This window comes from Homo sapiens, chromosome 2 (genome assembly GCF_000001405.40).
Source record: "Homo sapiens chromosome 2, GRCh38.p14 Primary Assembly".
NCBI lineage: Eukaryota > Metazoa > Chordata > Mammalia > Primates > Hominidae > Homo > Homo sapiens.
The window spans coordinates 39,698,828-39,715,945 of record NC_000002.12 but is presented as its reverse complement, the minus strand read 5'-3'; the positions used below and the strand labels follow the sequence as shown (position 1 = coordinate 39,715,945).

The window sequence follows — 17,118 nt, the reverse complement described above, 5'->3', positions numbered from 1 at the left end:
GCTAAAAGTAGCAGATTACCTCTCCAACCCATTCAAAGCTCCCCGCCCTCTACCCACCACCCTTTTTTAACCTATAGCTTTGGAGATTAGAAATGCTAGCAGAAAAACAAATTCAGGGCAGGCAGCAATTTGGAGGAAATAAAGACCACCTTAATGCCATCTTTAAAATGTTAGAATTCTGCCTCCATTCAAATCATGTAAGAGCACGTTGCCTGAATCCGCTTCCAAATGTGCACTTAGACAATAAATGTTCTAAATTAAAAGGACACTGGATCTGAGATAATTTGATATTTCCTACTCTTTGCTTAATTCTGCATTTAAACTCTAAAGTGATTCTGTTTTACTAAAAAGGATAAAATCTTTTCTTCTGACTTCTTGCTCCAATTTATTACAGCAAACATATCACTTTGAGTTCTCAAAGAGAAAAATCAAGATGGAAATAATTCTCTCATAAAGTAATGGGCCATTCAAAAAAGAATACTCCACTTTTCTCAAACCTTGTGAAAAGCAAATGTTCTTAGATCTACACAAATGTTTTCACTGGCACCAAAACAAAGGCAGTTTTTATATATAACAAAGCCCTTTTAATAAATGCTGGTAATAGAACAATAGGCAGTTAGAAAAAATAATCTTTGGAGCATCAACAAGTAAAATAGAATAATAGAACAATGACCTCTTCACAGGAAAAACAACTTTATTCTGCATTTAGCTGTTTGCACATAGCTGAATGCCTAAAAGCAAGCATTTTTACAAGTAACATTGTTTTAATGACCTATGAAAGCTTGAGTTCAAACCTAGACTTTTAAGCATCCTTTCATGTCCAAGTGCATTGGGTTGGGATGTGAGAAATAAGTATTCTAGTTTCCAGCTCTACTAAACACTGTGCAAACTTGAAATTACCTAACCTCTCTGAGCCTTGGTTTCTTCATCTAGGGAAAAAAAGAGTGGGAAACTTGATTACTGAAGTCCCTAAGAGTGTCAAATTTCTGTGATTCTGTTATTCCAAAATGAAACATGAAACAAGAATATTTATTAAAACTTCCTAGTGAATCTAGTACTCAGCTTATGCAATTAAATGAAAATGGAATGTCCTATGTATCTATCTTTCTGTATATACTCCCTCTGATTTTACACTTAACATTTCTTTCATTAGCTCCTCTCCCCTGCCAACCCCATAAAATTGCTTTTGATGACATGAATTCTATCATTAAACCACCGGTTCATACTGAATAGAAAAGAATTACAAGAAACAATCTAATCTGGGGATTTAACCAGAATGATTTCTCTCTGCTCTCAGTGTCATGGATGTTTGTGCTTTTCCTGGGGAATTGATTTGTGCTTACCTCATGGACACTGTGAATGATGTCATTAACAGAATTTTTCTTTATCCAAGTTGCCAGAGCACTGAAGCTCCCTAAAGCTAAATCTGTAGCCCACCATGAGCAAAAGTATGGGATTTCATGGCATGCTTTTGGCTTCTAATCTCACTCTTGGATCCATCTTGCCTCAGAAACCTGATTGTCCCTTTGTCTTACTTTATTTATTTGTATTAATTTAAGTGTTATCTCTATGCCAGTTAAGTTTTTTTTTTGGAACAGGGCACGCATCAAACTTTGATGCAGACTTGTTTTATTTCTTGTTGCCTTTACTCATTCAGCTGAGCGTGGTGGAGAGGAGGCCTATCAGCCCAAAAATCCATCCCCTCTCTCCATCCCCCTTCCCACAAATGCCCCTATAGCTTGCCCTTCTGTAACATCTCTTCTCCTTTCAAAGTGCTCTCGAAGTTGTTCTTAGTAAGTAAGAGGAAAGCAGGGCAGGAAAGAATGACAAGAAAACCATATCTAGGAGCTCTTCATTTTCAGACCCTCGCATTTCTAAGAATGTTTGCACATGCATAGCTGCCACCACAATGATTTGTGAGATGGGCAGGAATGTGTGATGATTACAAGGAAATGTACTAAGAGGAGAGAAGCATTGTTTCCAACTTTTCCAACAAGCTTCTGTAAAAGAAGCCTAACCCATTCAAGATATTTTAAAAAACAAAACAAAAAATCCTAAATTCAAAGGCATCAAGAAAAAGAGTTGTTTGAAATGATGAAAGCATTCTTACTATAGCTGGATTAATAGTTTTAGGTCAATGTTGAGAGTGTGGAATTCTATTTCAGGTTCCACATACATGTCTTATAGTACTCATATGTGTGAGTTTGCCAGAGCTGCCAAACAAAGTACCACGGACTGGGTGGCTTAAACAACAGAAATTTGTTTTCTCACAATTGTAGAGGCTACAGTCTAAGATCAAGGTGTCAGCGGGGTTGGCTTTTTAAACTGAGGACTCTCTCCTTGGCTTGTCAATGGCCATCTTCTCCCTGTGTCTTCACATAGTCTCTCCTCTGTCACCATGACCAAATCTCCTTATAAGGACACCAGTCATATTTAGTTAGGGCCCATCCATATCACCTCATTTTAACTTAAAGACCCTATTTCCAAATACTGTCACGTTCTGAGGTAGGGGACAAAGACATCAACAAGTGTATTTGAGGGGACACAACTCAGCCCATAACATTCCACACACATGTGAGTATGTGTGTGTTTGTACTCATGCATGAAATATATTTTTAGCTTTTTTATAGGTTTTAGCAAGATTGTGCTATTCTAAGTGTTACTCAATAAGTTATTCAGCAATTATTTATCAAGTATCTACCACGTCCCAAGCCTAGTTCTGGTATATTAGAGATAGTTTAGTTTCATGAGCTCTTCTTGGTCACAATTGGACTCAGTTCAACATTGATGTGGTCAGGAACTTCAAGCATTCTCTCCACTCTACTCTCCTCCGTGCATCTCAGGAAAAGGTCATAGGGATCTCTTAGACTTCCCGTAAGTTCTGCATGGAGTCCAACAGAGCTGAGCACATGGAGTGAAGAAAACCTGAACGAAACTGAATTCTGCAATACATTGAGTTCTACCAACTTAAGAGTCGGTTCATCACAAATTACCCCAAGTAGGGATTACCTATGTAGCAAGTTATTTCTGATAATGCTGCATTTTCATTGGCAGCAATCTAATTAATGCAAGGTATGCGAAAGGAGTATGGAAGGATTAATAAGGTATCACCTCTGCATTCAGAAAGTTCAAAATCTAATGGTCCTTCCTGAAGATCCATGGGGAGAAAGGTGGCCTCTCCTCCATTCTTCTCTGAGGCTTTCCCTTCCTTTCCACTTCTCCCCTGCCTAGCTGATACTCTTCAGCCAGCTAGTGTCCCCCAGAGAGAGAGAGAGAGAGAGAGGTTCCTGAGTCCTGAGCTCGGTCCTTACTACTGCTGGCAGCATCTTCAAAAAAGTGAATAAATTACTGGTTTCCTGACAAGCCCTGCATGCAACTACTTTTCTTATAAAATATTAAAAGGTTTTCTGCCAATATTCCTAATTAGAAGATACCACGATATCACAGAATTATAGGGCTAGAAGGGATATTTTCACATCAGGACAGAAGTAAATTTATGCTATCATCCTTGCAATCATCAACCTAATTTCCTACCCTAAAATCTTCATGATGCCGGCTGGTAAGATGTAATTAGGGTAACGGGGCCCACTCTTTTGACCACCGTTTTTTAATGTGCTTAAAAGACTGAAAGGAGTGGAAGTTGCTTCACCCTGTTTAGCCTGCTTGATAAATAATGTAACTACAACACCCAAAGGCATAAACATTGATTTTTTTCCCCTGCTCCTTCAAAAGATGGCCTGCCCATCGTTCTGATCTCTTTGGTCTTCCTTCAAATGCCTCATGCTAGTTTGCACACAGATTACTCAAAAAGCCATTCCTATATTGTCCTAACTGACTGGCAGAACTAATAGAGAGAAAGAAACTCTTACACACACACACACACACACACACACACACACACACAAAATGCAATTCCTAAATCCCAAAAGCATCCAATCATTTTCTGAAAGATTGAAGCAATCTCTGTAGTGGCAAATCCTGGCCTGGTCTGACACAGGCTATTCTAGTACTTATTGATCCCATTTAGTGTGAATATTCGTATGTTTAGCTACAGGAATATTAATGTATTTGATTTCAAGATGCCACCCCAGACCTTGCAGAGGGTGTTAAATAACACAGGATATATGCACCGTGTTACTCTTCTAAAATAAAAAGTTTTAGATCCTGAATTACAAAACACACCTGGCCCCCAAGGTTATAGAAAAAGTATCATGGACCTGTAGTTTCATGTCATAATCAATGGATAATCTAGATAATTCAATACACCTACCATGGTTGAGTCTTTTTTTAAAAAAAATTTGGATTCATTAAAACAAAAGAATGAATAACCAGTGTGGGTGGGTGTTAACTGTCCCTGGAGCTCTGCTAGGGCTGCCTGGACTCTGTCTTCTCTGTCTCTGCTGTCAGGAAGGGACTGTCTCATGCTGTGTGTGATCTTCCAGTTGGCCACTCAAGGCACAGCCTGTGAAGGTGAATGAATTTCGTGAGCAGTGAGACCCCCACCAAGGGAGGCCCAAGCTTTATCCAATTTTTAAGACTCCTGGTGAATTAAAAAATACTAAAAATCCTACAACAGAGACCTTAAAAAGTGTTTTAAAATGTTTGCACTGAATAACCTTTTAAAAGATTTATAACTTAAATTATAATAAGTATATATTATACCCATCTAATAGAATGCATCACTTAATAATGTAGGTGGAAATATTCATTCACAGTACACTGAAAGCAGTATAGTCTAGTAATGGGCAGAAGCTTAAAGCTGGAAGATAAGAGTCTTATTCCCTCAGTCACCTGTGTATGCTTCTGTGCCTGTGTGTGTGTAACCTCAGAGGGTGTGACATCCAAAGTCTAAATTCAAGGCCGGTGGGAGATGTGCAGGCTGCCCCTGGCTCTCTGGGAGGGCCCTTGCATGGCCCTAGGGAAGAGGAAGAGGGGTGAGACCTGGCTCCAGATGTGCATCGACAGTCAGCAGGGCTGCTGTGTAACATGTGGTAATCAAGACCTGTCTGTGTGCAATCAATAAGGCAGAAGGAGAAATATCGTTTCAGAGTTTCCATTTTAACCAGCCAACCTGTCACATGGTTGATGTTCTTCATTTGAAGGTTTAGCTAATAAGTTCAGGCACAGAATGAAGATGGCAGAGCATTAGAAGGGGCTAAGTTTAGCATCAAAAATCTGTGGGAAGGATGCTGACTTGAGTGGCTAAAGACATTCTGCTTAATTAAAATCGATTCTTTTAACCCTTTTTTTGCTCTCATCTCCTACTGCATGTGAACGTTCTACAGCTAATTTATCTCAAGCAATAGATTGACATGGTTGTCTCAGTGTTTGCAAAGGAAATTTCAAGGCATTATTTGTAGTAACAAAAGCAAAACAAACGCCCCTAAATCCCACAGCAACAGAACAGGTGAATCCAGCATAGCATATCCACTCCATGCTCCTCCTCTCCCCTCTTCCATCCCCTCCCCTTTCTTCTCCTTCCTTTTCCTTTCTTGTTTTTTTACAGTGAAGCAAATACATGGCAAGATTTGGTCCAAAATAAAGGAAATATTGAAAAAAGGTTGTTTTGTTTTCAGGTGATGAGGTCTGTAAGTGGATTCCCCCTTAATTTCAATAACGTTGTTTGGGCAACCAAAACAAAACAACAGAACAATGTTAACAATGTTAGGTTGTATCTGTTAGTCCTTCAGAACTGGTCATCAAACTTCAAGTTTATTGTTTGGGTTTTTGTTGGTGGTGGTGGTGGTTTCTGTTGTGGCTATTGCTTTGCATATTTTGATGTTGCCTAACAATTACACAGGAGCTTCCCGTGCTCGATCCTGAGGACCTCTGAGCTCCTCTGGTCCAGAGGTACAATCCACACATGGATCCAAAATAAGGGCTGAGAACAGGGAGAGGTGGAGCTGGCCCAGGAAACTACTGCCTCTCCTCTGTGCCCACCTGCCATTGAACCTTCAACTTCCTTTCATTTAAAACCAGACTGGCCCCTCAGTCTCCCAAGGAGCACTCAGTAGGCTTTCATGGTCTTGTAATTTATTTTAGTTCTAACAATTGTTTCATTTGCTAAGAGCATACTAAACTATTCAGGCAGTACATATATTTAAAGTATCCTTTAAAAACTCCTCCTACTGAGGCTTTTGTCCACTCCAGAGCATCCCCCATTTTCCTGACAAGGGGAGTGTTATGGGGCCTTTCCCATGTGTTGGGAGGCAACACATCTGTACCTCTTTGATATTTATGGAGACAAGAGTCAGAGAAATGGGGGCTTAAATAAAGGGAGAGAAGAAAACGGGGGAGATTTTTAAATAACCATTAAGCCCCAGCAGAGGTGTAAAGGAATCCTCTGTGCAGTGCAGTCCTCTCTGGTTCTTTGCTGCCCGCGTCTGCTTTAGTCTATAATTTGGATTTTAAATGCATCCCTTGGGCAGGAACCCAGTGGCTGGTCTTGAGGGTCCAAATCCTCCTCTAAAACCTCAGAAACTAACATTTTAGCCTCCCTGTGCTACAGTCCTGGTGGCCACTGTGTATTCACCAAAATCTAGAAAACCTAAATTGGTTTTCTGCTGAGAACTAGGCAGCATCCATGTGACTTCTGAATGTTCCAGGATGCTGGTGATGATGCCCCACATTCCAGATCACTGCCAATTGCAGCACCATTTCGTGGAGTGGGATAGGGGTGAGTGGGAGTTAGAAGGAAGGATCCCTGCCTGTGATGTGGGTTCCTTAAGGCTGCAGGGTGGTTGAACATGCCAGAGGGCAAAGTACCCCCTACCCGTCAACGCTCAGAGACAGACAGTCAGCAAACAGTGTCAGCCCCGGTGGGGTGTGGCTGCCTCCTGTTAACGCAGGCTTAATTAAGTGACCCATTACAGTGAGAAGTGCAAGAAAATCTAGGCATAGTCACTTGAATAACAGAATTCCAAGCAAGTGGAAATAAGCCTATTTAAAATGGCTATCTATCTCGGGGAATATTAGTTCTGTTGCTGAGTATACTGTGTGAAACTGTTAATGCCCAGTTAATGTGGCATTCACTAATCATTAATACACGAGTTTTCTGTGAAGGAGGAGAAGAAAGGAAAGATTTCTTCCCTGAAGCTACCTTCGGTCAGTGTTAGCCATCAACTCAGCACCTGGCACATTTTTAGACAAAACTACCCTTTAGCTGTTAGTCAAAAAAATCCTAGCCCTGTCTCCACACCCCCATCTTTCCAATCCCTTCTTTAAAAATCGGCCGGGCGCGGTGGCTCACGCCTGTAATCCCAGCACTTTGGGAGGCCGAGGCGGGCGGATCACGAGGTCAGGAGATCGAGACCATCCTGGCTAACACGGTGAAACCCCGTCTCTACTAAAAATACAAAAATTAGCCGGGCATGGTGGCGCGCGCCTGTAGTCCCAGCTACACGGGAGGCTGAGGCAGGAGAATGGCGTGAACCCGGGAGGCGGAGCTTGCAGTGAGTCGAGATCGCGCCACTGCACTCCAGCCTGGGCGACAGAGCGAAACTCCGTCTCAAAAAAAAAAAAAAAAAAAAAAAAAAATCAAGTCACTCCTTTGCTTCAAACCTTCTAGTGGCGTTTGTCACCCTTAGCTTCAAATCCAAGCTCTCCACCATGACCAACAAAACCCTGACGCTTTGGCCACTGCCCACTTCCCCCACCTCATGTGATACTATCCTGTCCCTCACTCCCTCCAGCCCCACTGGCCGCTTCTCTCAGGTTTGGCACTGGCGGTTTCCCCAGTCTGCTACGCTCTTCCTACCACCGGCTGCTTCTCACGAATTAGCTGCGAAATCGCCACCTCAGCAAGATCTTCCCTGAGTCCCTGTTTCACCCTGTTTCTTTTCTTCACAGCTTTTATCACTACCACAAATCATTGTTTATGTCTCTCCACAATAAAAATGAACAAGAATTTTGCCTGCCTTATTCATTGTGTGTCTTTAGCACTCACAGCAGTGCCTCGTACATAGTAAGTCCTCAAAAGATATCTGTGGACTAAAATGAATGAGTGTTGTGTATGTAAAAATGACACCATCACTAAAGCATGCTTTGAATTGACATCCAGCGGGGCATGGGTTGTGCTGATCTATCCCCCTCTGTCTTTGAGGGCACCTCATAAGCAATGGTCCATGTTTGCCAAGAGTCCAGGCCAGGGTTTGGGGCACAGTATGAAAGAAGGAACAGAAGGTGGGGTGTGGTGGCTCTTGCCTGTAATCCCAGCACTTTGGGAGGCTGAGGCAGGCAGATCACCTGAGGTCAGGAGTTCGAGACCAGCCTGGCCAACATGGTGAAACCCTACTAAAAATACAAAAATTAGCCAGGTGTGGTGGCACATGCCTGTAGTCCCAGCTACTCAGGAGGCTGAGGCAGGAGAATCACTTGAACCCAGGAGACAGAGGTTGCAGTGGGGCAAGATCGCACCACTACACTCCAGCCTGGGTGACAGAGTGAGACTCCATCTCAAAAAAACAAAAAAGAAAAAAGAAAGTACAGCAAAAAAACAGACTGGGCTCATATAGAGATTAAACCCAAGACACTTCCATCCAACCTACTAACAGGCCACAATGGGGATATAGAGGATGCATTTCTCACACTGTTGTTTTCCTTAAATTCTGTATTTTCCAGCAAAGCCAAAATGACCTTCTGGTTGCTTTTCTAACAGTGAAAACAAAATTAACAGGGAGATAACAAAGCGACACTAGCTAGCCGCATGCAGAGCAGCCTTCACCTTGGCTGGGACAGACGGCCTGAGGCATGCAGCCTACCTGTCATGAGGAACAGGAGTCCAGCCACGTGCTGGGTCAAGCTCTCCTCCCAGAAGAAACTGACTGTGGCCACAATGCAGCCGCAGAGAAGGACGGCTACGGCCATGCCGAGGAAGCCAGCAGTGATTCTTCTTAAATCTAATCTCAAAACAGACACAGACATTCACAATCAGAATTCAGGAAAGTCATTAAGAATTAGAGAATTAGGGCTTTGTATACATTGTGAAAATTAGTAAGTTACATGGACAGGCTTAGAGCCCACAGGACAAGGAGGCATAGGGAATACTCTTCCCAGGTATTCCATAAGAGGACTGATGGGGTGTAACCAATGGAGGGTCAGACTATACCGTCTCTGAGTCCGTGGAGAAGTCCACACTAAGTGGAGAATAGACTAGAGGACAAGCCCAGGATAGACCTGAGTAACAGATGTCAAATGACTTAAACAAAGAGTGAGGTGGGTCTGAGAAATATCTGTTAGCCTTAACAGAACAATAGAAATGTAGGTTAACCAAAAACCACCTGTACCCCAAAAACTATTGAAATTTTAAAAGGGGAAAAAAAAGAAATGTAGGTTACTACCCTGGTAGTGGCTGTACTTAATCTAGCTTTGGAGAAAGAGCCTAAAAAAGCTATTGTGAAATAGGGTTTTATCTGATCACCACAGATGCCAATTATTTACTTCTTCATTTACATCTACTCCTGCCTATTTTCAAAAACAATTTGAGAAAGCGAAGGCAATTGTGGTGAGTGGAACAGTGGTGTAAAGTGCACACAGGATACATGTGCTCATAAACACCCTTTCCTCTGAAACATCTGCTCAGAAATGCCTTCTCCCCTAAAGCATAGATCCCACAACCTGGGCATCCATTTACCCAGGTGAAGGAAGTACTAGTCCAATAGGATGAGTCTCCACTACATAATCTCCACTATACAGTGGCCCAACTGTCTAGTTTGGTCTATTGCAAAAACACAACTGTGATCACTGAGCCAGAAATCCAGCTCTTTCCCCACATGCCTGACAAAACCAAGAGGTAGGCTGACTACGTGTACCTGGACACAAGTTGCCTCCAACTGCTAAACCAGCACTCACCTTGCCTACCTTCCAGCTATTTTACTTTTTCTATTTTCTTCCTTCTTTTTTTAAAAAATGCTTTTGAATCTTTTCTATTTACCTTGCAGCTCCATCTCAAAGGATTTTTTTTAACAAAACTAACTTTAAAAATTGTTCGCTAAATTTCAATCACCCTTCTTAAAACAACACATCCCAAGCATACATCTGCTGCCCCCAAGGCCAGGTAACAGGTCTGGGCAAATGCACGTGGATCATCCACACCTGTGTACACATGGGGCCAAGACAAGGTGCAGATCACACTGTTCGAAGTGTGGGCTGCTCTGCTAAAGTGAAAGTGCCCATGCAGCCATCACTTTATTGTGTGTTTGTGTGGCTCCTGGGCAGCTTAGGGGCGGCTTCATGGAGGATGGATTACAGTAGCTTCCAGTCTTGCTCTTAGCACCTTAGCCACAGAGAGACCATCCCTTTTTTAAAGAGGGATTTCTCATTTCCCACTCAGAGCATCCAAATTAAAAGAGAGTATTTCTGCCTAGAAGAAGAAATGTGGACACCAATGAATAAGGGGCCAGGAGCAGTGATAATTTAAAGACGCTGAGTTTAATGTTAAGGGTATAAGTAGTTTTTGAGACAGCCACATCTGAGCAGGGGAAATGTAGTATGGTTCAGTCACCATTATCTTACAGCCTCCCAAATTTCCTATGGTTTGAGTGATAGTCTATTTTCTGTGACTCTGAAAAGGCACAAGGTTCAGATATAATCCACATGGGATTTGCATTAGTACCAGTCATGTTAAGCTTATATAGTAAATGTGCTACAGATCACCAAGTGTGACTTTCTTAGAAATAGACATGCATGAGACTGCTAAAAGCATCTTTCCATGAGAACTCCAAAAAGGATTAAAAGAAGAATCTTCAAATACTGCCTTGCTGGGCAATCACAAGGTACAAACTATTAAAGAGCTAAGGTTCTTTTTCAGGCTCCTATGATGATCTTTTCTCCCCTGACCTGAGCCAGTAACTACATGGCTCTCTGGAAAGATGATTAAGTCTTAAAGTTGCCTGCCATAATATGTATATTAGACCACTGCTCTGGCAATATCATAAGAGCTTCCATTTATGTGTTTGAGATTCAGAACAGAGCCTTTTAATCCGCAGAGAGATTTACTTACAGAATGAGAGACTCTGATTAGTTTTCTACAGTGGCTTTGGCCACCAAACAAGATCCTGAAGTCCTTGTTACTTATTTCATTGGAAAATGACAATGTCAACCTCTGATGGGGGCAAAGACCAAAAAAATTCACAGTAGTTTTTCGTTTCGGGGAGCTATCTATCATCAGGCAGCTTAAATCAACAGTTTTTAGGTAAATATCAGCCCTCTTTAGTTTCACACTGCATGATGCTTTCTAGAGTTTCACATTTTCCTGACAGTGAAAAAGAATAGTTCCTTTCATTGAGATGTAGACACCCTCTGAGAAAATTATGACATACACTCATAAAGGTATTTTAGCAGAAATACAAAGGTCGGAGATGAACACAGTAGCTAAAATAAATATTGTATATACAAAACAAAAATAAGAGCCCCTAAGGTATAATCTCCTTGGTTTACAAGACAAGGGGTACAGCAGGTCCTTACACCCAACAACTCGGCAAACAAAAGATTCAGTAGGCAGCTGTGTACAGATGCCACCAGGGCAGACTATCTCACAAGACCTTATACCAGGTTTCCACACATTTTATTTTTAAGCAAACTGTGTCCACAGCATAGGGAAATGATCCTCTGAGTCTCTGACCACATCTGATTGGGCCCAGAGGCTCACAGAGGATAAGAACAACATCCTTCTGTCCAGATGTGAGAGGGGTGGTGGGAATTTTGTTCAGAATGACACCATTTCCTCTCTGAACCTCTCCTGGAAATACTTACGAAGCAGGTGCCACTCATCTTGCTGTATGGTCTTGGTTAAATTAAAAGGAATGTTTCGCAAGCGGATGGGCTGAGAAAAGTGGTACTTGATGGCCGTGCATCGCTGCGCAATACCTTGAAGGAAATAAGAAACGCGATTTACGAGTCTGCTTATTTGTAACAGAATTCTGAGACCTGAGGCAGAATACCGTAACCTAACCTGGGTTGAATGGGAGATGGGATAAGAATCTCTTGATTCAGAGCAATAAAAACCTAAAACATAAAATAATGTTTAAAATCAGGTTTCATTTTTTAATGTATTAAATTGTATAAGGATCTATACTCCCCTAATTGTTTTCCCATACGGAGCTTGTTTTACCTAAACACAAAACTCCTTAAGGAGCAATGGCCTAAAAGTACACAGATGGTTGGGAAAATCAGCTTAGAATTTTAAATTAGCACAGATAAATCACACATCTGGATCTGATCCAGTCTCAAACTCTCAAGGGTAGCCTCATGAAGTTCATTAGGAAGTGTGTTATTTGGAAACCAGAAGACATTTTTCCATAAAGATAACCTTCCACATGGTTTAGGTGGTGATTATATCTCCAGACAAACCTCGAAAACCTATTTAACTCTAGTGCAGCTGATATCATTCCTTAATACAGTTATACTGACCTGAATTCTAGATCTCGAGAAAAAAGGGTAATACTAGAAGTAGGAACAAGAAAGAAAATAATTTTCCTCCCCTATCTGGTTGTATGGCCAGCCCTAGGCACAATATTTTGATATGGGCAGGTGTACACATTGATTCATCTAGTACACTCTCCACCTCCTCACACCAACCTCACACACCCATGTTTTACTGCATAAATTAACATGGGTCCATTATTCTCTTCTCCTAGAGGCTTCTGAATTTCATGAAAAGTATCTACTCTGTCTTAAAATTTAAAAAAACTTATAAAATGTTCTCCTCTCATTTTAAATAATCTTGGCCAGTTGTTTGGATAAATGCAATCTGATTAAACTAATTTTTTTAAAGGCATGAGCGAATGTTAGTCCTTTAACACTGCCAGCCATTTAAAAAAATCTTCATAGATGCAAATAAATCTCTAATTGGTGGAATCTGAGTGCATATAAAGGTGAAATTTTAAAAAGATTATATAGTGAAGGGAAGAGATTAATATTTGAGCATAATTTGCATCATGAGCCCCAGTCCCTCCTGTGAATGTACCTACAGGATCATCTTCCCTAAGGAGTTTCTCAGATATTAGTGTACATCAGAATCACCTAGGTGGCTCGTTAAAAATGTAAACTCCTGAACTCTACCCCAGATATACTGAATCAAAAGTTTTGAGATGGAGCCAGGAAGCTGAATTTTAACAAGCATCCCAAGTAATTCTGATGCAGGTAGTCTCTGAATCTCCCTTTGAGAAAAACTACCCAAACTATCTCTGATTTTTGGAAGCTTTTTTTTTTATTTTTTATTTTTTGATGAAACCACACATTTTCTCAAAATTCGAAGTTCTTTTTTTTTTTTTAATTTGTTTTTTCAACATGAGCCCCATGGCAGTGGTTGTGAGGTCTAAGGCATTAAAGGTAGCTGTTTACATATAAGTTAGCTGTTTATAAGTCAGGAAATGCCTGTGCTTCCAAAGGGAAAACAATATAGTATGAGAACAATGACAGATAAAGGACCACAAATGTAGTAGTAGCTTACATTTGTATTCTTCAAAACTATCATTCCATTTGGTACTCATCAGACTGACCCTGAGGCTCTGTAAGCAGGAAGTGAAAGCTAAGGCAGAGTTGAAGGCATACCCAACATGCACACAACAAACCCCACTGGCAAAGACTGGAAGGTTTATTGGTTTTAGCAGGCTAAGAACATTTCTGTACAATAATTAGTTTACCACTAAGCTAATCAAGCAGAGACTTAAGGGGCCTCCTATGACAAAGAATATAGACTTCATAGGATTCGTTCAGGAAAGTCACTAAAGGAACAACAGCAACAACAATAAAAACAATAATCAACCCTAGAAAGGGACAAGAATCTAATTTCAGAGCTGCCATAGTATGTTATTTCAAATGCCCAGTTTTCAACCAAAAAAGTACGAGACATTCAAAGTAAAAGAAAAAAAAAAGCAGTCAATAGAAGCTGTCACTGAGGGATCCCAAATATTGAACTTACCTTACAAAGATTTTAAATCAGCTATTTTAAATATGTTCAAAGAAGTAAAGAAAACCTATCCAAATAACTAAAGGAAAGGATGAGAGTGATATTTCACTAAATAGAGAATATTAGCAACATGACAGAAATATTCTTGTAAAGAAAAAAATAGAAATTCTGGAGTTGAAAAGTATAATAACTGAAAAGAAAAATGCACCAAAGAGGCTTAAAAGAAGTTTTGAGGAGGTAGAAAAAAGCAGCAAACTTGAAGATAGGTCCATTGAAATCATCCAGTCTGAGAAAAATAAAGAACAAAGGATGATTTAAAAAATGGTCAGGGCCTCAGAGACCTGTGAGGCACCATCAAAAGCATAATGAGAGCTGCAGAAAGGAGGAGAGAAGGAGGATCAAAAAAGAGTATTTGAAGAAATAACTGCCAAAACTTCCCAAATTTGATTAAAAATATGAACTTGCATTCCTAAGAAGTTCAAGGAACTACAAATAAGATAAACTCAGAGACCCACACCCAGATATATCATAATCAAACTGTTGAAAGCCAAAGACAGAGAATCCTGAAAGCAGCAAGAAAAAAGCAAATTATCATATACACAAAAAAAACTTTGAAAGATTACCAGCTGATTTCTCATCAGAAATCATGGAGGCCAGAACGGAATAGGATGACACATTCAAAACACAGAAATAAGAAGACTGTCAACCAAGAATCCTATATGCATCAAAGTTATCCTTCAGAAATTAGGAAAAAAATAAAATATTCCCAGCTAAACAAAAACTGAGAGAATCTATCACTAGCAGACCTGGCCTAAAAATAAATACTAAAGGGAGTCCTTCAGGGTGAAATGAAGGATAATAACTGAACCCATATTTAAAAAATAAAAAGCACATGTAAAGGTTACAACATAGGTCACTGTAAAAGACAGTATAAATGTATTTTTGTTTGCAACTCTTTTTTTCTCCTATCTGATTTAAAAGTCATAAAGCAACAATTATAAATCTCTGTTGATCAGCATACAGTGTATAAACATGTAATTTGTATGACAATAATAGTATGGAGGAGGAGAGTGGGGATGAAACAATATAGAAGCAAGGTTTTTATATACTATTGAATTCAATTGGTATTAATCCAAACTAGATTGTTAAGATGTTACTTGTAATCCACAGGGCAACCACTAAGAAAATAACAAAAAAAAAATATGTAGTAAATGAAACAATAACAACAAAAAGAATTAAAAAGCCATATTAGAAAATATGTATTTAACACAAAAGAAAACATTAATGAAGAAATAGAGGAACAAAAATGCATATGGCATATAGAAAGCAAATAGAAAAATGGCATCTATAAATCCTACCCTACCAAAAATTATATTAAATATAAATATATACTCCAATAAAAAGGCAGAGATTGGCATTGTAGATAAAACAACATAATCCAACTACATGATGTCTACATGAGACACAGTTTAAATTCAGACACAAATAGGTTGAAATTTTAAAGGATGGAAAAAGATATACCATGAAAACCATAACTGAAAGATGAAATGGCTATACTAATATCAAACAAAACAGAATTTAAGACAAAAATTGTTACCAGAGAGAAAAAAAGATATTTTATAATGATAAATGGGTCTATCCATCAAGAAGATACAGCAGTCATAAACATATACTGACCAATAGAGCCCCAAAATACATGCAATACCAAAAACTGACAGAATTGAAGGGAGAAATAGACAATTCAAAATAATAGTTGGAGACATCAATACTTCTATTTCAATAATAGTAAAACAACTAGGCAGAAGATCAATAATAGTAAAACAACTGGACAGAAGATCAACAAAAAACAGAAGACTTGAACAACATTATAAACCAACAAGATACAAGAGACATCTATGAACACTCCATCCAACAACAGCAAAATACACATTCTTCTCAAGTGCACATAGTATATTCTCTAGGATAGACCATATGTAAGCAATAAAATAAATCTCAATAAATTTAAAAACATTAAAGTCATACAAAGTAAGTTCTCTCACCACAATGCAATGAAATTAGAAATAAATAAGAAAATAAAATTTAGGAAATTCACAAATTTGTGGAAATTAAGTAATATACTCCTAAATAACCGATAAGGCAAAGAAATCACTAGAGTAAATTAGAAAACATTTTGAAATTAATAAAAACAAAATTACAACATACCAAAATTTATGTGATGCAGCTAAAGCAATAATTTTGAGGGAAATTTATAGCTGTAAATGCCTACATTAAAAAAAGATCTCGCCTGGCACAGTAGCTCATGCCTGTAATCCCAACCCTTGAGAAGCTGAGGTGGGAGGGTCACTTGAACCCAGGAGTTGAGGACCAGCCTGGGCAACATAGTGAGACCCTGTCTCTAAAAAAATAAACAAAATTAGCCAGGCATGATGGCACGCACCTGTAGTCCTAGCTACTCAGGAGGCTGAGGTGGGAAGATTGCTTAAGCCCAGGAGATGTAGGCTGCAGTGAGCTGAGATTGCACCACTGCACTCCAGCCTGGGTGACAGAGTGAGACTCTGTCTCAAAACAAAAACAAAACCAGAAAGATCTCAAATCAGTATTCTAACTCTCCACCCTAAAAAACTAGAAAAAGAAGAGCACACTAAGGAAAGAGATTACAAAGCTAGGGTGGAAATACATAAAATAAAGAATTAAAAATTGATAAAGTAAACAAAACTAAAATTTGGTTATGCCCATAATCCCAGCACTTTGGGAGGCTGAAGTAGACGGATCACTTGAGGCCAGGAGTTCAAGACCAGCCTGGCCAACAGAGGAAAACCCCATCTCTACTGAAAGTACAAAAAATTAGCCAGGCATGGTGGCACATGTCTGTAATCCCAGCTACTCAGGAGGCTGAGGCACAAAGATTGTTGGAACCTGGGAGGCAGAGGTTGCAGTAAGCCAAGATGGTGCCACTGCACTCCAGCATGGGCAAGGCAGCAAGATTCTGTCTCAAAAAAAAAAAAAAAAATCAGGAATGAAACAGAGGCTATTACTAACAATCTTAGAGAAATATAGAGAAGCTTAAGAGAACACAGTGAAAAATTACATGCCAACAAATTAGATAAAACAGATAAAATGGCATATACCTAGAAATATAAAACTCCAAGACTGACTCAAGAAAAAATAGAAAATCTGAACGCATCTATAACAAGTAAAGAAATTGACTT

The 17,118-nt window shown here is 39.7% G+C and overlaps 1 protein-coding gene across 8 annotated transcripts in view; it reads right to left on the bottom strand.

The window, feature by feature from the left end:
- Positions 1-17,118, bottom strand: part of TMEM178A (transmembrane protein 178A) — a 70,478-nt gene that overhangs the window by 20,015 nt on the left and 33,345 nt on the right. For 4 of the 8 annotated variants that reach the window (NM_001167959.2, NM_152390.3, XM_047443422.1 and 1 more), the window contains exons 2-3: positions 11,752-11,865; positions 8,760-8,897 (exon numbers count right to left, since the gene is read on the bottom strand). The exons of 2 other annotated variants lie outside the window; for them this stretch is intronic. In NM_001167959.2, the coding sequence (NP_001161431.1) occupies positions 8,760-8,865 (106 nt within the window). In that variant the 5' untranslated portion in view covers positions 8,866-8,897; positions 11,752-11,865. Of the gene's footprint in view, positions 1-683; positions 4,463-8,759; positions 8,898-11,751; positions 11,866-17,118 lie in introns of those variants that run through there. 2 more of the 8 variants (XM_017003369.2, XM_005264144.1) reach the window with 2 other exon arrangements.